We start from the raw sequence: 23,816 nt of genomic DNA, 5'->3' as shown, positions 1-23,816 counted from the left end.
GATACCCACTCTTCAAACCACTCAGCTCAAAATTCTCAAATTAATCTTTCACTTCTCTAATTATCCCACCTATACATAACTAATTCATAGGCAAGTTCATTTTATCTTCAAAATATTTCCAGTATCAGATCAATTTTTATTCCTTGCACTGCTACTACTTTTAGAACACGTCAGCATCATCTTTCACAATCATGGTTTCCTGGGACAAGTTTCAAAGACGGCTCCTCACAGTAAGTCATACCTCTGGCTAATCATGCCCTTGAATCTGGGCCAGTCCTGTGACAGGTTGTTGAGCAAGAAAATCTAAACAATTCAAGGCTAGGTTATAAGATGCTTTGAAATTTCTGCCTAGGTCTCCTAAAATGCTGGCTCTGGGGGAAACCAGAGGCCATATAAGAAGTCTGACTAACCTGAGACTATGATGTTGTAAGGAAGCCCAGGATAGCCATGTGGAGAGGCTACATGGAGTGAAAGATGCTCTGACAGTCCCCAGGGTCTTCTGCCAACTCCACCCAGGTGCCAGCATTTGAGAGAAAATGCCATCTTGGACACTGTAGCCACAGCAAATGCCACATGGAGAAGTGCAGAAACCAGGTGATAGACAGAAACAAGGCCTCAGACATTCAGTCCCAGCACAGGAATGTGGACATCAACCTCCAAGGTCCCTAAGGATCCCTGCCTCCTGGTCTGCACACCTCCGTATAGTCCCTTCCCACACTGCACCATGATTAGGCTGTGCGACCAACAGCATGTGGCAGTGATGGTATGTCACTTCAAGGATCAGAATACAGAAGACACTATGACATCTGTCTTGGATGCTTTCTCTCTTATTCACTCAAGGGAAAACTAGCTGCCGTGTGAGGACACTCAGGCAGTGGATGGTGAGGCCCATGTTGTGAGGAACTGATGTCTCTGACCAACAGGCAGTGAGGACCTGGGACCTGTCCACATCCACATGAGTGAGTTTCCAAGTGGACCATCCAGTCCCAATGACTGCAGCCCAGGCTGACAGCTGGACAGCAACCTCTACAGAACTCTGAGCCAGAAACAACCAGCTAAGCCATTCCTGGATTCCTGATCTATGAAAACTATGAGATAATAAATGCTGGTTGTGTTAAGCTGCTAAATTGTGGATAATTTATTGTATAAGAATAGATAACTAATAAAAATTATCACAATCATCCTCAGTTGTTTATTTCCCTTTATCCCCCAATACACTATTATTAATTATTCAAATGTATAAATTTGGCAGCAAAAAATTTCCCTTTAATATAGAGACTTCACTACTAATAAGAATGAGCATCTTTTCCTGTTTATTGACCATTTATATCTTTTCTTGTGAATTTCTATCTGTTGTTCCTTTTTTAGGGGGTTATTCTTCTTATGGGTGCAGAGAAATCATAGCAATTGCTAGTCATACAGAATGCAATTTTTTTCTGGTCTGTCATTTGTTTTTTATAGTGTGCTTTGTGATCTTAATTTTAATACAGTCAAATTTGTCAGTCTTTTGTATTATGGCCAATGGGCTTGAATATCACTGAGTATCTTTATATCTTTCATTTTGTGTTTCAGCCTTTAATATGTATGTGATTTCTTATAGCATGTGATGGAAAGTAAATATTTAACTACTTAACATTTCTGCTTAAACAAGTAAGTTTGTCATCATATAATGCTTTAGAGATTTACAGCCCACCCTAAAACAGAGTTGGCAAATTATACCCACTGCCTATTTTTGTAAATAAAGTTTTATTGAAACATGCTCATGCTCATTCATTTACAGATTGTCTATGGCTATGAATGCACTGGAGCAGAAGAGCTGAGTAGCTATGATAGAGATCATATAACCTGCAAAACCTAAAATATTTACTGTCTGGCCCTTTATATGAAGTTTGCCAACCCCTGGTTTAAAAACATTTCTGCTCTACCCAACATGAAATTCTAAACTGAAACCCTTCTTTAAACAATTTAAAAGGGTTTCATTCTGCCAAAATAAACTGAGAATTCAGTCTGGGCCTAATTGAAAGTTAACTAAGTTTAGACATAAGCAGGAATTTGGGGGCTGGAGGGTTTCACAGTCTTATAGTGCTTTTCTGAAAACAAGTAGGGATTACAGCACAGCAAGAGCTCTGGAATCTACCTAATTAAAATTATATAAATGTTATTCTATAGCAAGGGTGAAAAGGACTAAAACAGAGCCAACCGGTTATCATGGCTGATCAAGATAAAGGTAGAAATAAGACTCAGTAAGGGAATACAACCTCTTGTCCAGGGGCTGACCCTTGTAAAGAAAGAAAGAGCTTCAGGATGGAGGGTGGGCAATAGGTCAGTGAATTCCAGGTAGTAGGCCACATCCATAATTGCGGCATGCTCCTTAGTAAGCAGAGTGGTAAATGGGTACAAATAGAACACAGAACAGAAAGAATCCTAACCAAGAGGTTGAAGGAAATAAGCCAACTAATAATAATGGTTCTTTCTTGGTATTGGGGTTTATTATTAATATTATGCTTCTTTGTAATATTCAGTATTGTCAAGACAGTCTCAAGAACTGAAGGAAATTCAGATGAAATAAAACTGGGCAGGAAGGAAAAGGAAGAGGGGAGAAGAAAAAAGGAGAAAAAGAAGACAGAAAAGTAAGTAGTGGCCTGGTTATTTTGAAAGAAATCAAGGCCGGGCGCGGTGGCTCATGCCTGTAATCCCAGCACTTTAGGAGGCTGAGGCGGGCGGAACACCTGAGGTCAGGAGTTTGAGACCAGCCTGACCAACATGGTGAAACCCTGTCTGTACTAAAAATACAAAAATTTGCTGGGTGTGGTGGCACACGCCTGTAATCCCAGCTACTCAGGAGGCCGAGGCAGGAGAATCGCTTGAACCCAGGAGGCAGAGGTTGCAGTGAGCCAAGATCGTGCCACTGCACTCCAGCCTGGGCGACAGAGTGATACTCCATCTCGGGGTGGGGGAAAAAAAAGAAATCAAGACAGTTTACACACAGAAGGTGAAAAATGAATAATCTTAAATTCATCAAAATACCTACTTTAAAACATAATGTTACATTACTTTTCAGATTTTTTTCTGGCTCCTTTTTCTTTTTCAATGTAGCAGTAGTTAAAAACAGCACAAAAAAGTACTCTGGAAACACTCTATTAATAACAGATTTGTTCTGGAAACCTTAGTTCATCTTGCTTTGGTTGAAATGGATGAAAAGCAAGAGCGAGTTCAAAATTACTGACTCTAACAGAAAAACACAAAGACACTAGAATGCAGGAACAATGTATTTAAGCCTTTAAACTCCTCTGAAGTAAAATACAGGAATTCTGGGTTGGCTAAGGTCCTAACAGGAAAAGTGTGTTGTCTATTTCCTTACAGAAATCTTTTTTCCCCCCATCTAAGTTTCCATTAAAACAAAATTTTGCACCTTCACCTAGCAAATCTAAACCCATGAGGAAAAAAAAAACCCAAAACTCTTTTCATAACTTGTTAAGACATATAAAAATTTGGTAAGTGTTCTCTTTACATATATCATAATGTCCTTGCTGATCAGGGTTAGCTCTGGGTGAGGGGACTATAAGCACATCATTACTACGCCATCCATAGGAACTAACCTCTCCAAAAGTAATTTCACATCTTCCCCCATGTCACACACGTTTCCCTGAGATCTAACACTCTGCAAGTGAAGGACTGGATGTTTCTTCTGATGACATTTATCTCATGTATTTGCTGCATAACCCTCTTGGCAAATTTTATTTAATTGTTTAGAAGCATGCAGAATATGCACCACATGCCAAGAGGAACTCAGCAAACCCTGTCTGCTATAGTAATGTTTAAATTAGACAAGGGAAAAAGACTGTGAACTTAATTTGATTAAATAAAGGGACTTTTGATGTCAACCATCCTGAATTTAGCACTCACTTTTTTTTAAAAAATAGGTATTTTCTTATAAGTGTTTTCATAAGAAACAAGATAAAATGTATTTGATTAGTTTCCATCAGCCTATTTTATTAATATGCCTTGGCAGGCTTTCATTTATGCTGGTAAATTCTGATGATGAGTCTGTTATCAGAGAACTACACTATATCAATCGGGTTATCAGTAAAATTAACCTAAATATCCATTCTATTATTTTTCTTGATGAGTCCACTTAAAGAGAAACTTACAAAAAACCAAAAGCCATATACAACTGGATCCAGACTGAAGAGGTTGAAAAAAAGAACTTCCGCTGGGTGCGGTGGCTCATGCCTATAATCCCAGCACTTTGGAAAGCCGAGGTGGGTGGATCACGAGGTCAGGAGTTCAAGACCAGCCTGGCCAACATGGTGAAACCCCATCTCTACTAAAAACACAAAAATCAGCTGGGCGTGGCGGCACGTGCCTGTAATCCCAGCTACTCCTGAGGCTGAGGCAGGAGAATTGCTTGAACCCGAAAGGCAGAAGTTGCAGTGAGCCAAGATTGCGCCACTGCACTCCAGCCTGGTGGCAGAGCTAGACTCTGTCTCAACAACAACAACAAAAGGACTTCACTCAAAGTATACAAAGAGAAATGCTCCAACGCCCAGGAATAGAGTCATAGAATATACAAACATTTTTGTTTTCTAAATGCTTAAATTTACAGAAGAAAAAAGAAAAAGTAGTTTTTCATTTTGTGACTTTTCTTAATTTTGCATTTTCTTCTCAGAATATATGTAAAGGGATCACACTATTTACATTTACCCTAAAGAGCTATCTTTCCTAGACAGAAAAAAAAATTATGAAATAAAAGAATTACTTGATAAAAATCACTGACAACTTATTTTCTACCTGCTTCTCAAAAGCAGGTCTGGACTGTATAAACCTAAGTTTTTCTTCCTTTTCTTTCTTTCTTTTTAATCTTACAAGGCAGATTGATTTCTTTTGGTCTGTCTCCCCCTTCCTATTACACTTTATTTTTCAAATATATAATACAAGTACATAGTATGAAATTTAGAAAGACACATTAGGCTGTGTAGTTAACTCCTTACCCCTGTACTCCCAGTCACTCAGTTCCCCTCCACAGAGCTATTCTTCCCAGTTCCTAACACAGCTTTTCAGAGATTTCTATGCTTAGATAAGCATATACATGTGTATGTGTGTGTGTTCCCCTACATAAATATGCCCTTGATACTGTTATGTACCTTTTTTACTTATGAATTCCATATCACCTCATATAAATTTAATTCATATAAAGCTGCCTTCAAAAAGTAGTTATATGGCTCCATAAGATTCCATTGTACAGATGTGCCATTAATTTATTTAACCAGTTCTCAACTGAGGGACATCTGGGTGGATTCCAATCAGGTCTGAAATGACTTGCAATGAAGGATCTGCTGTCCTATAAGCTAACATAATTTTAGTTCATCTTAACCAAACATAATAGTAGCTCCAAATTCTTTAGCTAAAATCAAAGGTTATTTTAGTCAACAAAACAAAATCACTTTTATCGAGAAAGAATTCTATGTGATATTTGCCTTTATAATAAATGTCAAAATGCAAAGAAAAAGACAAACAAATTTCAGTTGCTAATACCCAATTGCTGTTAACGCAACAACAACTACCAAATGGCAATTACGAACTTACCCTCTTATCTCTAGCTACCTTTAAATTATGTCCCACAGAAAAACTTGACTGAGAAAACCAGTAGTTAGGATTTGGTTTTTAAACAAAAAATAGAAAGTACTTTTTAAAAGGTGACAATAATGCAATCTTACTGAAAAACAAATGCATATAATTAGAGGAACGTCTTAAAAGGAGGCACTATGTACTTAAAGAAATCAGCTCCTAATTATCAGCTAGATGAATGCTGCTGGTTTCAATTCCCTAGTTCTACCTTCCTCTAATTTCCCAATACTGGTTTCAAGATAAACTAAAATAGGAAATTAAGACTAAAAGCTAAAATAAATAACAATAATTTAAAAAAAAAACCAGCTTTGGAAGAACACTATCAGCCCAGTGCTAAAGCTGGACTCCTGTAGTTAGTATTCCACAACTGGCTATCAGATCAGCTGCAACAATGCCATTGTGGCCCTAGAGCTGCACCTTAGTCGTCCTTCCTATTTCTAGTTCAGGGCTGGACTAGAGCCCAGCCCCGAAACTCCAGTGCGGGAATTTGGCCTTACCAGTTGATTATCCCATTTTGCAATCCCCATCAGAATAACAGATTCAATCAAGAATCATCAACGAATGCTAAGGTCATCGGTGAAAGCTGTTGCAGGAAAGGATATTCATCCAGGGGCAAAGTGTCACCCTAAAGATTATTCACAAACTGCAAAGAAAAGATCTGGTGGTCACCATTTTAACAAAACCATCACACTTGGCATATGAATAGTGCTACAACCTCCTAATGCTGACAGGCCTCTTAATATGCGGCAATATTAGGTAAACACTACCTACAAAGTATTTTTCTCCAGTGTTTTATTGCAAAAATTTTCAAACATACAATAGTGAAAGAATTTTTTAAGTGAAAACCATACTCATACCACATATTTTACTTTATCACATAGCTATCCATTTCCCTAAATACAATTCCATTTTATTTTCCGATGCATTTCAAAATAAATTGCTGCCATTAGTACGTGCCTCCCTAAATAATCTATGAAGTAATCTTGCCTAAAATATTCAGCATGAATCCTGACTTCAGATTTTAATTCTAACTTCCAGCTTACAGAAATACAGAAGATAAAGAAATTAGATATTTGATAATAAAAGTAAATAGAAAAATCCAGCATGTGGGACATTCTGTCAAATTACATGGCTTAAGAAGTTCATGTCATTAAAAGAAAAAAGTTTGGGTGACTAGATTTAAGAGATATCCCAATTTTCCAACCTAAAAGAGATACTAAAGAAAGAGCTACAAAAGACATTCTTCTAATAGCTAGAGAAATGTGACTCAGACTGGATATAAAATGATAATATGAAATTATTATTAATTTTCTTAGGTATAATAATGAGGACTGTGGTAATACAGATTATCTTTATTCTTAGGAGATGAATGCTGAATACACACATATATAAATCTTAACTTTTTTATAGAAATAAAGCAAATGTAAAATGTTAATAATAATAATATATATATTTTTTTTTTGAGACAGGTCTCCCTTTGTCATCCAGGCTGGAGTGCAGTGGCACCATCTCCACTCACTGCAACCTCTGTCTCCCGAGTTAAAGCAATTTCTCTGCCTTAACCTCCCGAGTAGCTGGGATACAGGCATGCCCCACCACACCTGGCTAATTTTTGTATTTTTAGTAGAGACAGGGTTTCACCATGTTGGCCAGGCTGGTCTTGAACTGGCCTCAAGTGACCTGACCACTTCGGCCTCCCAAAGTGTTGGGATTACAGGCGTGAGCCACTGCGCCCAGCCAAATGGTAATAATTATTATATCTAAGAAAGAGTAAACAGGTGTCTACTGTGTTAGTCTTTTGAATTTTCTGTACATCTGAAACATTTCAAAATAAAAACTGGGAGTCAGAATAGATTTTTAATATTATTGTAGAGGTTGATAGGTTCTTTTCTGTTTCATCCTGCCTGGACCATTCGGATTGAGAAACTGACCTTTAGGGAAAAAAATCTTATCACATACTTACACACAAAAATACATCTCTATGACATTCTTTATTTCTACCTCAGAGCCAATGCTATTATTATGCAATATTTCAACTAGTGTTTTAGTCTGTGTGCAAAGGCTTTGAGGCTGCAGCATTACAGAACGCAACCCAATCTTAAATTTACACATGAGGGCAGGCTCACTGTCACTTGCCTGTGTAAAGTATAGATTGAGATAGTCCCATAACTTCAGATTTCACTTTATAAAATCACCTGTTAGTATCTTGAATAGATCTTGCCTACTTCTTCCAACTCTAGACATAAATTTTTTTGTCATCTTAGTTTTCTTAAGATTTCATTCTGCTTTCCCAATCTACTGCTGCTCCTGGGAGTCATCAGGGCAGCTGCATCCTAAAGTCCAAAGATACATCCATTACCCAGGTCATTAGAATTAGAAAAAAAAAAATCATTAGCAGAGATCACTGGATATGGTACAGCATGAATTAAATAAAAATATTAAATTTACATTACTAATTCAAACAAGATTTGCAAAAAAAAAAAAAAAAAAAAAGAGATACGGAATCTTACGTAGTTATGTAGTTGAAGAAAACAAAATCAGCCACTGAACATTCATAGCGTTCTTTCAAACTATGGCTAGAAATATCATATAACCTGAAAGCAAAGAGGTGTCTTAGGGGAAGGAGTGAATATGACTAGATAATATTAGACAATAAAATAAAATTTATTACAGTCAGGGTTTAGCTTTTACTGTTAAGAGTCTTTTTCTGCATAAAGCAACCATAGTAAAGTATGAAACCATCTTACTGAACAAGTTAGCACATGGAGTCATTAAAGTAATTCATTATATCTGTCTTGTTTCAGATGCAATAAATAAAAGGAAATGCTATTTACCAGGGTTTGTCTTCTCAAGTTGATACCATCGGTAAAATGCTCTTTTCTTCTGTTCACTCAGGTCTGATCCCTGCTGCAACAGCCAATGAGAGATCCGGCTCTGACTGATACCTATGTAGAAAGAGAAATAGGTTTTGGGGGGCACTGAAATTACAGTGAAATTAATAAAGGATCTTTTGGTTCTAGGTTACTGGGTGCTTTATTCTCTGTGTCCAGTCCATAAGGAAGTTGCAACCTGAGCAAACTATTATTGGATTCCTTTGTAAAGACTGACTGCACTGGCTAGGATATACTCAGAAATTATCTCTTCAACGTCAAGGCAGTTTATTAATTAAGACCCGACAATGGCCTCTAAAATTAATCTCCAAAAAAGGTCCATGAATCTGAGATAAAGAGATTCCTAAAGTAAAAGCTATTTGTCAGAGTTTATTATATTTGTGCTCCTTCAATTACCACTGCTTTCCACTCCACCCCTAATTTAGAATAATAAAACTTTTAAAAGATATTGAGCAAAAAAGTCAAGTCAGCAAGTTTTGTTACTCATTACGGATACTGACCAAAAGATTTAGGGGCTAGGAAACAAAAGGTCACTGAAAATACTGTCTTCAATAAGGTTTTTTTTTGGCTTATTTGTTAATTCATTTAGCCATTTTTAGAGTCATTACCATTAGTACAGAGAAGAATTAGCAGACTTTTAGAGTTATGTATGCTACAATATGACCTCTTAAGAAATCTCAACAGCTAAAGACATTTTTCCAACACAAGCTTTCCACAAAACTGAACAGAATATAAAGCAGTAGTTTTCTGCTATCTCCAAGAAGCTCTTGACAGCAATTACTTAGAAATGTAAAGAATCTCTACATTTGAAAGTAAAAAAGCATGTCTAAAACTTACTAGTATGAGAATCACATGCTCATTCTGGCCATTCATAGCTATTCCAAAAAATGAATAACTCAGTACAAACTGGCAAAAGCAAGTAACAACAGGAAAGACAAAACTGTCTTGTAAGTCCACAAGGCAGTTTCCAAAAGACCATTCAGCTACCAGAGAAGGTTACCTATACCTAAAACCTCCCAAGGAATTACTGAGGGTAACCGAATATTACTGAATATCACCTGTGTCGACTCGTCCCGTTTAAAGGTATAATGCCCAATAGGAAGAGTAGCTATCATGAAGTAATCACACCCTCTAGCATCAGAAAAAGCAGGAGGTCCTGGGATCACATTTAACTCATTAAAAGCAAGCCCCTAGAGTTTCACACACTTAAAAACCTATGTCAAAAGAAAATTTGAGGAAATGGGAGAGGGGAGTGTTAAAAAAAAAGACTGTGAAGCAAAGTTCTCTGACTGGAAACATCTTTCTTTTTTTCTTTTTTGAGAAAGGTTCTCACTCTGTCTCCCAGGCTGGAGTGCAGTGGCGCAATCATGGCTCACCACACCCTCTCACCTCGGCCTCCCAAAGTGCTAGGATTACAGGCATAAGCCACTGTACCAGGCCCCACCACATCCAGCTAATTTCTTATTTTTTCTGTAGAGACAGGGTCTCACAATGTTGCCAGGCTGCTCTCGAACTCCTGGGCTCAAGTGGTCCTCCTGCCTTGGCCTCCCAAAGTGCTGGATTACAGGCACAAGCCACCATGCCCAGCCTGGAAAAATCTTTCAATTTCAAAAGGCAAAATTCAAACAGCTTTCCAAACCCTAAGTGATTATATTCTCAAATAATTCACACAGCAGTTTTCCAGTGGACTAAAGATTCATGTAATGTAGGCACTGTATGCCTCTTCTAAGAAAATGCAAATTATTCTGGATAATTAATTCGGCTTTCACCAAAAGTCTAGTTTCAGACATTATGGTTATTTTTTAATACTACTTTTTTTTTTCTTTGTATTTTTTTGGAAACAGAGTTTCACTCTGTTGCCCAGACTGGAGTGCAGTGGCGTGATCTCGGTTCACTGCAACCTCCACCTCCTGGGTTCAAGCGATTCCCCCGCCTCAGCCTCCCGAGTAGCTGGGACTTCAGGCATGCGCCACCATGCCCAGATAATTTTTGTATTTTTAGTAGGGATGGGGTTTCACTGTGTTGGCCAGGCTGGTCTCGAACTCCTGACCTCAGGTGATCCGCCCGCCTCAGCCTCCCAAAGTGCCAGGATTATGGGCATGAGCCACCGCACCCAGCCTATACTGCATTTTTAAAGGGTGAAGAAAACAACCACCATGAAATCAACATTGATTTTCATGTCAACAAAATAAAATTATTTTACATGGATTCTTCATATTGCTATCATACTACTCAAAACAGAAAACTTGAGAAAAATCAGTTAAGAAAAAATATATTATCAGCTCTGTTAACTGGTTCCAATATGAAATCTTCCTTAATCAGATCATACATAGAACAAGCCTCAGAGCTCGCTAGACAACAGAACTGTCCAGGTTCTGGCTTTGGTATAGTGAGAAGAGGACAAAATCTCATCAAACGGACATTAGTTAAGTTAGAGTATATTTATATAACAAAACACTGGTAGGCTTTAAAATTAATGTTTTTAAAAAGCCATAAAAAAACCCAGAAAACTACAACAAAAAAGCAGAACCAACCAAACAAATAAAAAGCCATCAATATCAAGTGCTGGCAAGGCTATAGAGCATATACGATTCTCACACTGCTGATGGAAGGATAAAATGGCAGGGCCACTTTGGGAAACAGATGATAACTGCTAGAGCTGAACATACATATACTCTATGACCTAGCATTTTTTTACTAGGCATATATCCCACAGAAATGTGCACCTGCTCAATAGAAGTATGTTCAAAAGAGACAAGAAGGCTCTTATAAACATTTCCATAATAGCCCCCAATGTGAAACAACTAAATGCCCATCAATAATAGAATGCATCGGCCAGGCGCAGTGGCTCACACCTGTAATCCCGGCACTTTGGGAGGCAGAGGTGGGTGGATTGTCTGAGGTCAAGAGTTCCACAACAGCCTGACCAATATGGTAAAACCCCATCTCTACTAAAAATACAAAACTTAGCCAGGCATGGTGGTGTGTGCCTGTAGTCCCAGCTACTCGGGAGGCTGAGGCAGGAGAATTGCTTGAACCTAGGAGGCAGAGGTTGTAGTGAGCCAAGATTGCGCCACTGCACTCCAGCCTGGGTGACAGAGTGACACTCTGTCTCAAAAAAAAAAAAAAAAAAAATAGAATGCATCAACTGTGATAGCTACACATTCTGCTATAGACTACTATACTAAATAGAAAAAGATAAACTACCACTATATGAAACCACATGGATAAACATCACAAAAATAATGTTAACTGAAAAACCTATAACACAGACACACATACACAAAAGCCATACATAACTATATATGATTCATTTTAAATAAAGTTATAAAACAGATACGACTAATCTATAGCGATGGAAATCAGAATAGTAGTTACCCATGTAGGAGGGAGAAGGTTTCTGCCTGGGAGTTAGAATGAGGAAAGTTTATGTGGTGACCAGCATTGCTCTTTATCTCGATCTGGAGGGTGGTTATATGGGTGTCCTAACTTGACTTTTAAGTGTCCATTAAGCTGGACAGTTTTCTGTGTATATATTTAAATTTTAAAAAGTCGCCCCAAAAATGTTCTTAAAATTCTATGTAGTTTCAAAAAAATGAAGTAAATGGATATGTATCAATATGGAAAGATGCTCATGAAATAAATGAAAAGATATATTTTTATGAATATACAATGTTACATATTCTAAATTCTGTATAGTAACAACAGCTAATATATAACTAAAGATATATAATATGAATTTAAAGTGGCAGATTCTTCCTACATTTCTATCTCTATATTGTTTTCTTAATCTTCCTATAAATATGCATTAATTATTTTTGGCTTTTCACCCTAAATACTAAATACAGAGCTTTACTGGTTATTTTACAAGCAAATAGTTGCAAAGAATTTCTGTCTTCCCCCTCCAATTCTACTCTCTGAAGTAAGCAAGGTTAGCTATTTACACATGTTGTTCCACAATTTTCTCTATGCATAATTATTACTTTAATAAAACAAAGGAAGAAGATGGTGTTATAGAATATTCTCCTGTCTTGTCTTTTGTGTGAGGAAGAAATAAACAAGAATTTCTTCCCTCTAAATTTAATCTCAGTATTCATATAATAATGTAGAAAATAAGTAAAGCAGGTAATTTTTCCAAAAAAGGCACTGTAAACAAAATAAAAGCATAAAAGGACACGTTTTACAGTGATTTTTCTAAGCAGCCTGTTAACAGATGGGTAAGGCTCCTTGAACTCATGCTTTGAGCTGCTTTGGTCCTTCAGCTGAACACGGTCTCATAAGCCCTGGCAGCCTCTCGATACTATCAGCTTTGATACTTTTTCTCAGGAGAAAATTTCCCTAACTTTCCCCCTACTTCCCACTGCAGAAGAAAACGTCATTGCCCACAAGTTTTAGTTCCTCAAAACCTATCTTGTCTACCTCTGACAGGGCAGAGGAAAAGAAAAAATTTACATATAACCTTCACACATTGAGAGACTAAAACTAACCCCTGATTAATTTATTTCCAATAAGAAAGTTATCACATGGTATTCAAAGGAAGAAAAAGCCTTTCCAGCCTCATTCACATTATTTTCTGAGCAGCTGCATCAGGCTACCTGTTCCTCAAACACCACGCTCCCTTCCACTAGAGGGCTCTCCACCATAATCCTTTCTTGTCAGAGTCTCCAATACCACAAATTTATGTTTAATTTTCCTTCCACTTCCTGAGGAGTGAAACCACTGACCACTCCCATCATCTTCCTCCTTGGAATGCTGGATACAATTCCAACACCACATCTTTTCAGTCGACTTCAGGGCTGCTTTGCTAGCTTCTTACATGTTAGTAACCCTCAGAATTCCTTTGGTCATCTCAATTACCAACAACATTGATTTAAAATGTCATCTAAATGCCAATGACCTCCAGGGTACCAGACCATTCTTTCAAACCATCTGCTAGATAGCGTCCATGAGATTTTCCCACAGGTCCTCAACACAGTCAACTTAATTCACTATCATCCTTAAATCTGTTCTCCTTCCTGTGTTCTCCATCTCAATTTTACTGTTCACTCTACTTTCCCCCCACACTCTTACATATTTACTAAATACAATCACTTTCTCTTCCTAAAATTATTTTCATGTCCTTTCCAATCCTCATTCCAGAAGTTTGGAATCTCAGTCTCTTTTGCCTGGACAATTGCAGTAACTATAAGAAAAATAACAAACCATTTAAGATCCACAAAGTACAAAATTCTCATAAGCTCCTTTTTAATTAGAAGATCATTTCACAATTGAAAAAATGAAATTTCCTTCTTCAAGCAATTTTGTACTTCAGAACTGCTATCATCTCTATAATTCGCCTTCCACAGTGCAAGCAGAATTATGTTTAAATTTAAGTTAAAGCACATATATGCATTGTCTACAAAAATTCAAATAATTCATAAATGCACGCAGATAAAATAAAAGCCCTTCCTCCACTCCCACCCCTTATTTCCTATCCTAAAGGTATCCTTATTTGGTGTGAATCCATCCAGACTTTCTACATGCATTTAATACAGAAAAATATGCATTCATATATATATATATATATATATTTAATACAGAAAAATTTAATACAGAAAAATATGCATGCATATATATATATATATATATACACACACACACAACCAGTTGTTTTAAAAACATACACTTGGGGTTATTCTACATATAATAAGTAACTTACTTTTCTCTAATATCTTAGAATGTTCTCATATAGTACATTGTAAATCTTCATTCTAGTGGTTACAAGGTATTCTATACCATAATTTATTAAAACATGAACCTATTATTCGATACTGCAGTTGTTGTTAATGTTTCACTATTATAAATTATGATGCAATGACACTCTATGTACAACCTTCTGCAGACAAATAAATATTTCTCTAGGGCTGACTCACAGGAATGAAATTTTTGATTCATAGTTTGTGAAGAGCATTTATGTTTGTGACAAATGTCACCTAACTGTCCCCTAAAGAAGACTGTACTCTCACTCCTCTCCTACTTAGATAAAAAATGAAAAAAAAAAAGACAAGACTGTACTCAGTTTTATACTCTAACCGTAGTATAAGCATGTTTTCCTACATTCTCACCATTACTGAATATTACAAAACTGTTTTGAAAGTCTGACTTTCTTTTTGTAAGCATAATACAAGTCCATTATTTTAAAAATCCTAAGCAATTCAGATGAAAGGGGAAAAATTAAGAGAAAAGCGAATTTTAAAAACCACACACCCAAATTCTCACCCCTTAGAAATAAATACACTAATTCCAAGATCATCACTCCAAGCATATATACACACAGGACAGGTAGAAGTAATAACTGAAATGAAACCACACTATAGACAGAATTTTAAAATATATTTAAAAAGTAGTTTTATTTTAACACAGGATTTTTTTTAAACTGGAGTGAAAACAAAATATCTGAAGTTTTGTAAATGTTTCCATAAGAGAAATGAGGTTCTCGAAAGAGTCCACTAAAGCAAGGTAAAAAGCATTATACAAAAACAGTGTATCATTGGGATGGATTTTTTTTTAACATATGGGCAATATTTAATGGTTCCAAGCTAAAAAAGCTAAGGAAATTAGCAGACTGTGGTAGCTAACCTCCAAAGGGACCTCCAACCTCCAAATGATCCTTCTGGTCTTACTACCTTTGTGTAATCCCCTCCAACACTGCATCAGGGTTGCTCTGTGCAACCAACAAATGTGGCACAAATGATGGTCTATGACTTTTGAAGCTAGGTCATAAAAGACATTACACCTTCTGCCTTCGTCTCCTTCTCTCTTTCCCTCTCTCCCTCTCTCCCACTGCCCCACCCACAGATACCTAGTTGTGGGAGAAGCTAGCCATGTTATGAAAACACTCAAGCAGCCCTATGGAGAGATCCACGTGACAGAGAACTGAGACATTCTGCTAACAGCCAATGCAAGTGAGTCATCTTGGAAGAGGGTCTTCTAATCTCATTTAAGCCTCCAGATGACTGCAACCTCATGAGACCCCCCTGAACCAAAACAACCTATCTAAGCTGCTCCTGAATTCCTGGCCAATACAAATTGAGTGACATAATAAAGGCTTATGTTACAAGATGCTAAGTTCTTAATGTTGCAACAGATAACTAAGACACATCCTTACACTCTAGTTCCCCCATCTCCACATTCCAGCCTTTGCACCCAACTCCTCATATTTAGAACATATTTTTAGACAGTCAGCATTTACATTCTGTTCTGAATTCATAGTTGCCACAGCTGTACACTCATGGTTATAGATTTAAAGATTTAAGATTTACCACAGAGTTTCTTAAAAGTTTTTCCATTCCTAAACTCTTATCTTTTTGTTTTTAATTGAGTTATATTTTACAAACAGTAAAATTTTAAGTATATAGTTCAATGAGTTTTGATAAATATACAGACGCATGTGATAAATGTACATGATGCATGCTCAAATCAATTTACAGATTATTTCTATGCCCCTTGAAAAGTCCCTCTTGTTCCCTTTCCAGTCAATACCTAAATGTCTTGTTTTGTTTTGTTTTGTTTTGTTTTGTTTTGTTTTGTTTTGTTTGAGATGGAATCTCGCTCTATTACCGAGGCTGAAGCGCCGCGGCATGATCTTGGCTCACTGCAACCTCTGCCTCCCAGGTACAAGTAATTCTCCTGCCTCAGTCTCCTGAGTAGCCGGGATTACAGGTGCCCACCACCACGCCTGGCTAATTTTTGTATTTTTAGTAGAGACAGGGTTTTGCCACATTGGCCAGGCTGATCTTGAACTCCTGACCTTAGGTGAGCCACCCGCCTTGGCCTCCCAGAGTACCTGGATTACAGGAGTGGGCCACTGTGTCTGGCCAAAATGCCTTATTTTTAAATATAACTTTGGGTATAGATTTCTTCACAGAGTAGTTTTTAACAGCACAGGCTAATTGGTGCTGTATTTTTCAACCCTTGTATGTTTGTATGTTTGTCTCCATTTTCATACTTTGAGGACAATTCTAGAGGGAAAATTTTGGGGGCCAGCTTTCCTTCAAAATCTCTTGAATTGGAGTGACATCAGTGAGAATAGTGAAGTAAAAACCTCTGAAAACCTACTCCTCCATAAAAGCAACAACAGCAAAATCTGCTGTTCCATAAAAGCACTGTCAACAATTGTCAGAATCAACTTCTTCAGAATTTTAGAAATTACCAAAGGCTTCCAACAATCCAAAGAGCATTTATTTTAAAAAATGCTGAATTTTGGTAAGAATAGCATGTGACATTTTAACTTGGCCTCCTCCCATGCCTGTCACACTATCATTATAGCAGACTTAAAAACCAACATTACTGCAATCACAGTGAAAACCAGGTGTGGCCTAGTAGTCACTGGAGGGGAAAGGACAGGTTTGGAGTTCCTCAAAACACCCTTCTAAGAGAACTGTCATTATTTGACCTGTCTGGCAATTACCTGGAAATCTTTATTTGCAAGGCTTGCTTTATTTGACCTGACTCAAGATCTCACTCAGTGTGAATAGCTTCTCTCTGAGGAGGAAAGACAGATGTGAGGTAATTTGTCGAAAACAATCAGTGGCAATAAGTTAACACTGCAGCTGCCTGAGGCAATGACAACAACTGATGTGAACAAGAAGCTGACCAAAATATTTCAACAGAGAAGTGGAGGTATGAGATGTCCACGAGAGTCTTCAAAAAGCTATGACATATTCCTAGGAATCTAGAAGGTCATGAACTTGTATAGGGCTGTGCACATGTATAGGGCTATGAAGATGTATAGGAAAGACCCGTGAAGGCTCGAAGCTCTCACCTCTGGCTGACCTTGAGACCTAGTACAAAGAGAAAGTGAAGGTTTACGCAGAATTATAAGCTGCCTGTCTGAGCATTAAAGGTATGCCCAATACACAGAGAGAGCCCCTTGACAAAAGCTGGGAGACTTATTGTTTCTAGAGATTTGAGGAAATTTTTACCTAATAATTAGCTGACCACTAAGCTGACAAGGAAGATAGTTCAGCAGCTACATACCACAAAGAATAATAACTTTATAATGTTAAATCAGGAAATTCATTAAACAAACATCACCAACAACAGCAATAATAAATCCAAGGGAGGAAGGAATCTGATTTCCAGAGTTTCCACATTACTTAGAATTTCCAGGTTTTAAAACAAAACTTATGAGACATGCAAAGAAACAAGAAAGTATGGCTCATACACAGTAGAAGCAGTCAATAAGAAGTGTCCTAGAAGAAATCCAGATATTGAACTTAGTAGACAAAGATTTAAATTAACCATTTTAAAGACTAAAAGAATTAAAAGAAACATGTCTCAGGAACTAAGGAAAGTATGAGAAAAATGCCTTACCAAACACAGAATATCAATAAACAGACAAAAATTATAAGAACCAAATAGAAATTTTGGAATTGAAAAGTATAAAAAATAAAATGAAAAATTATCTAAAAGGACTCAACGGTAGATATGAACTGGAAGAAGAAATAATCAGCAAACTTGAAGACAGGTCAATGGATATGATCTATTATAAGGAACAAAAAGAAAAAAAGAATGAAGAAAATGGAACAAAGGCTCAAAAACCTGTGGGATACCATTAGGCTTACCAACATACACATATAATGGGAATCCAAGAAACAGAGAGAAAAGTGAAGAATATTTTGAAAAAATAGTGACCAAAACTTCCCAAATTTGATGAAAAACATTAATGCACACATCTAAAAAGCTCAATGATCTTCAGGTAGGGTTAACTCAAAGAAATCCATACCTAGACACATCATAAATTGTTGAAAACCAAAGATCAACAGAAAAATCTTGAAGTGTCAAGAGAGAAGTGACCCATTACATACAAGCAATGCTCAATATGATAAACAGCTAATTTCTCATCAGAAACCATGGGAAGGAGACATTAAGACATTTTCAGATGAGTAAAATTACAGAAAATATGCTCTCAGCAGATGTGCCCTGTAAGAAATACTAAAGGCAGGTCTTCAGGCTGAAAGGAAAGGACATTAAGCAGTAACTCAAATACACCTGAAGAAATAAGAGTGACAGTAAAGGTAACTATGTAGGTAAACATAAACGAGAGTATAATTAAATATTTTGTGTCTATAACTCCTTTTTTATTTATAAAAGAAAACTATATAATGCAATAATTATAATCTAAGTTGATGGGCACACAATATATAAATGTAATTTATAAGACAAAAATTAACCTATTATAGGAGAAATGTTTTTCTATACTATTAAAATTAAGTTGGTATTAATTGTCATAAATTAAGATGTTAATGGTAATCTCCAGGGCAATGACTGAGAAAATAGCTCGAAAAATATAGCAAAAGAAATGACAAGGGATTTAAAATTGTACATGAGAAAACAATCTATTTAACACAAAAGAGAAAGTAATCAAACAGAGGAACAAAAAGATGAAACACATATAGAAAACAAATGGCAAAATGGCAGATATAAATTCTTCCTTATCATAATTAAATTAAATTTAAATAGATTAAAAACTCCAATAAGAAGACAGAGATTGGCAGAAACACAATCCAACTTCATGCTGTCTATAAGAGATACATTTCAGATTCAAAGACATAATTAGGTTGAAAGTAAAAGAATGGAAAAAGATATATCATATAAAAATAACCAAATGAGAACTTGAGTGACAGTTAAATATTAATGTAAGACAAAATAGACCTTAAGATAAAACTTGTTACTAGAAAAAATAAGACATAATAAAAGGCTCAATTAACGAGGAAGATATAACTATAAATGTACATATACCAAACAACAGAGCCCTAAAATGCATAAAGCAAAAAATGACAGAACTGAAAACAGAAAGAGATAATTCAACAATAATAGTTGGAGATATCAATATACCACTTTCAATAATAGGCAGAACAAATACATAGATCAACAACGATTATATGAACAACTATATGCCAACAAATTACATAATCCAGATGAAACGAACATAATTGTAGGAAAAAACTACTGAATCTGACTCAAGGCCCAGAAAATCTGAATAGAGTTACATAGCAAGTAAAGATATTGAATTCATAGTCAAACATCTTCCCACAAAGAAAAGCCAGAATGCTTTACTGGTAAATTCTACCACGCATATAAAAAATAATTAAAGCACATACACCCATTAACAACTCTTCACAAACTCTTCTATAAAAATAAAAAAGGAAAAAACACTTCTGACTCAATTCCATGAAGCAGTATTATCCTAATACCAAAATCAGACAAAGACACCACAGGAAAACTATAGACAGGCTGGGCCTGGTGGCTGACACCTGTAATCCCAACACTTTAGGAAGCCAAGGAGGGAGGATCACTTGAGGCTAGGAGTTCAAGACCAGCCTGGGCAACATAGGAAGACACCATCTCTGCAAAATAAAATTTTAAAGTTAGCAAGGCATGATGGCGCACACCTGTAGTCCCCAGCTACTTGTGAGGCTGAGGTGGAAGGATCACTTGAGCCCAGGAGGTCAAGGCTGTAGTGAGCCCTGATGGTGCCACTGCATTGTAGCTTGGGCGACAGAGTGAGACCCAGTCTCAAAAAAAACTACAGATTAACGTCCCTTACATATGCAGATGTAAAACTCCTCAACAAAATGCTAGCAAACTGAATCCAACAACATATATAAATATAAAGGATTATAAACCATGACCAGGTGGGATTCATCTCAGGATAGCAAGGTTTACTCAACACACGAAAATCAATGTAATACAGTCACATCAATAAATGACAAAATCCACATAACTATTTTAATAGACACAGAAAAAGCATGACAAAATCCAACAGTCTTTCATGATATAAAATACTCAAAAAACTAAGAATAGAAGCAAACTTCCTTACCCTGATATAGGGTATATATGAACAAACAACAGCTGACATCATACGTAACGGGGAAAGACTGAACACTTTCCCTAAGATCAGGAACAAGACAAGGATGTTTGCTCTTGCCACTTCTGTTAAACATTGTATTAGAGGTTCTAGCTAGAAGGCAAGATAAAGAAAGAAAAGGCATCCAGATTGGAAAGGAAAAAGTAGAACTACCTCTATTTGCAGATACATGATTTTGTATATAAAAAACCCAAAGGAATACACAAACACACACACACACACACCCCATTAGAACTAACAAATGAATTCAGCATGGTTGCAGAATATAAGATCAATATACGAAATAAACCTTATTTCTATCCATTAACTATAAACAATCCAAAAATAAAATTCAGAAAACAATTCTACTTACAATAGCATCAAAAAGAATAAAATACATGGGACAAGTGGATATCCACATTAATATAATGTTCACATCCCTTCCTCACATCATATATAAAAAGTAACTCAAAGTGGATCAAAGATGCAAATGTAAGAGCTAAAAGTATAAAACTCTCAGAAGAAAACACAAATGTAAATCTGCATGATTTGGGAATAGGCGTTTTCTTAGCTATGATACTAAAAGCAAAAACAAAACAACAAAACAATATACACTTCATCAAAACTAAAAACTTGTGTGCTTCAAAGAACACTATCAACAATGTGAAAAGACAACCCAGCCTCCACCTGCTGGGTTCAAATGATTCTCCTTCCTCAGCCTCCCAAATAGCTGGGATTACAGACATGCGCCACCACACCCAGGTAATTTTTGTATTTTTAGTAGACAGGTTTCATCACGTTAGCCAAGAATGTGAAAAGACAACCCAAAAACATGGGAGAAAATATTTGCAAACACTCCATCTGCTAAGGGACATATCTGATAAGCGATTTATCAGATATAAGTTCACGTATACACAGTGCATTACTCACGTGTGTCTACGTGAACTTATATAAAGAATTCAACTTGTATATGAACTTACATAAAGAACTCAACTTATATATGAACTAATATAAAGAACTCAACACTTCAATATATTATATAAACCTATATAAAGAACTCTTAACACTTCAATATAAAAAGTATAAGAAGATGAATAACCCCAGAAGATGAATAACCCCCTTTTTTTTTTGAGATGGAGTCTCACTCTGTCACCCAGGCTGGAGTGCAGTGGCGTGATCTCGGCTCACTGCAAGCTCTGCCTCCCGGGTTCACGCCATTCTCCTGCCTCAGCCTTTCAAGTAGCTGGGACTAAAGGCGCCTGCCACCACGCCCGGCTAATGTTTTGTATTTTTTTTTAGTAGAGACGGGGTTTCACTATGTTAGCCAGGATGGTCTCAATCTCCTGACCTTGTGATCCACCCGCCGCGGCCTTCCAAAGTGCTGGGATTACAGGCGTGAGCCACCGCGCCCAGCCAAATAACCCAATTTTTAAAATGGACAAAGGATTTGGCTAGACATTTTTCCAAAAACATACATAAATAACCAAGATGCACATGAAAAGTGCATTACTCACTAAATCAAAACTACAGCAAATCAAAACTACAATGAGACACATACCACTTCACATCCATTAGGATAGCTATCATAAAGTGTTGGTGAGTATGTGAAGAAATTGGAAATGTCATACATTGGTGGTAGTTTTATAAAATGGAAAACAGTTTTGGCAGTTCCTCAAAACATTAAACATAGAATTACCATGTGACCCAGCAGTTCTATTTCTAGGCACATTTCCAAGAGAATCTGTCCACTCGAAAACTTATCTACAAATGTTCATAGCAGCATTATTATTGAAAATAGCCAGTGAAACAATCCACATGTCCACCAACTGATGAATAAATATAGTATATACATATAATGATATATTATTCAGTTATGGAAAGGAATGAAGTACTGATGCATGCTATAACATGGGTGAATCTTAAAAACATTATGCTAAGTAAAAGGAAGCCCGACACAAAAGTTTATATAGTGTATGATTCTATCTTATGAAATGTCCGGAAGTTTGTCTGTAGGTATATCTGCAGAGACAGAAAGTATATTAGTACATACCAGGGCTTGGAGGACTGGGGGACTGGAAATTACTGCTGATGGGCATGGGTTTCTATGTTAGACTGTATCTATACAAGAATTCCCACCATTTTCCTCTGTTTTGATCCAGAATTCTTATTTGACTTGGTGTGTGTTTTAAGGTTCTAGCTATGGCTTCACTAGTTTTTCTTATATTTTTGTTTATTTTATTGTCTTTGCTGGGTTTTGATGGACAGAAGTGGACCAGTAGTATCCCTCAATCTTCTAAAGTTTGCTGATTTAATGGGCAAAAATCCCCCCTGATCTCTTGCAATTAAATTGTTCTTATTTAATATTCTAAGATGCTTTCATCTTTTCATATGCTTATTGGCCATTTATATTTTGTCTTGCATAAGTTACACACTGCTATCCCTTGCAAATTTTTTATTAGGTTATTTGTCATTTTTCATAATAACTTGTAAGAGCTCATTTGAGATACCATCATAGATACCAATCTTTTGCTCTATAATGCTACAAATACCTGTCAATGTGAATCTTGTTTACAGTATCTTTTACTGGATATATGCTTAAAATTTTTATGCAGTTGGACCCATACAATTTTATTTTTGGGGTCTTATGTATTGCTTAGGAAAGCCTTTCCTATCCCAATATAATAAAAACATTCATTATTTTCTTTTAACAGTAGTGTAGAATCTTTTCTCCAGCTTTAAAAAGTATATTCATTTAGTTCTTTATCCATATGAAAACTGATTTTTGATTCTGGTATAATGTTGGTATCTATATTTATTTTTTCATTTTCAAAGAATCAATGGAAAAACATTATTTCCTTACAGATTTAAAGGGCTTCCTTTATTTAAGCTAAATTTGCTCATCTCCAAGGATCTATTAATGAACTCTATCCTGTACAACTAATACATTTATCTGACAATAAAATGACTCTGTTTTACTTACTCTAACCTTATGTAGTGTATTTTAATATCTGGTAGGGCAAATTTGGCCAACTCTTTCCTCCCCCATCCCCCCGCCTTTTTTTTTTTTTGGTGAGAGAGTCTGGCTCTGTCGCCCAGGCTGGATTGCAGTAGCGCAATCTTGGCTCGCTGCAGCCTCCACCTCCTGAGTTCAAATGATTCTCCTTCCTCAGTCTCCCGAATAACTGGGATTATAGGCATGCACCACCACATCCGGCTAACTTCGTATTTTTAGTAGAGACAGGTTTCATAATGTTGGCCAGGCTAGTCCTGAACTCCTGACCTCAAGTAATCTGCCCACCTCAGTCTCCCAAAGTGCTGGGATTTCAGGTGTGAGCCACCATGCCTGGCCTTCCCCTGTTCTTTTTAAACAATCTCTTAGTTATTCTTATGTATTTTTTTCTTGCAGA

General features: G+C 36.6%; 1 protein-coding gene and 1 long non-coding RNA gene across 36 annotated transcripts in view; one reads left to right on the top strand and one right to left on the bottom strand.

The window, feature by feature from the left end:
* Window positions 1-2,610, top strand: part of LOC105379346 (uncharacterized) — a 28,066-nt gene extending 25,456 nt beyond the window's left edge. Inside the window, exon 3 of the long non-coding RNA XR_001745858.2 lies at window positions 2,523-2,610. This is a non-coding gene — a long non-coding RNA (uncharacterized LOC105379346). The remainder of the gene's footprint in view (window positions 1-2,522) is intronic.
* HMBOX1 (homeobox containing 1) overlaps window positions 1-23,816 on the bottom strand; it is a 163,155-nt gene that overhangs the window by 35,626 nt on the left and 103,713 nt on the right. For 33 of the 35 annotated variants that reach the window (NR_136758.2, NR_136757.2, XM_047422223.1 and 30 more), the window contains one exon: window positions 8,463-8,573. Coding sequence is in view for 32 of the 35 variants with exons in the window: in XM_047422223.1 (XP_047278179.1) it covers window positions 8,463-8,573 (111 nt within the window). In the remaining 3 variants the exon portion in view is untranslated. Of the gene's footprint in view, window positions 1-6,126; window positions 6,272-7,351; window positions 7,962-8,138; window positions 8,223-8,462; window positions 8,574-23,816 lie in introns of those variants that run through there. The other 2 variants (XR_001745595.2, XM_011544642.3) reach the window with 2 other exon arrangements.

This window comes from Homo sapiens, chromosome 8 (genome assembly GCF_000001405.40).
Source record: "Homo sapiens chromosome 8, GRCh38.p14 Primary Assembly".
Classification (NCBI taxonomy): domain Eukaryota; kingdom Metazoa; phylum Chordata; class Mammalia; order Primates; family Hominidae; genus Homo; species Homo sapiens.
This window is presented reverse-complemented; position numbering and strand designations above follow the sequence as displayed.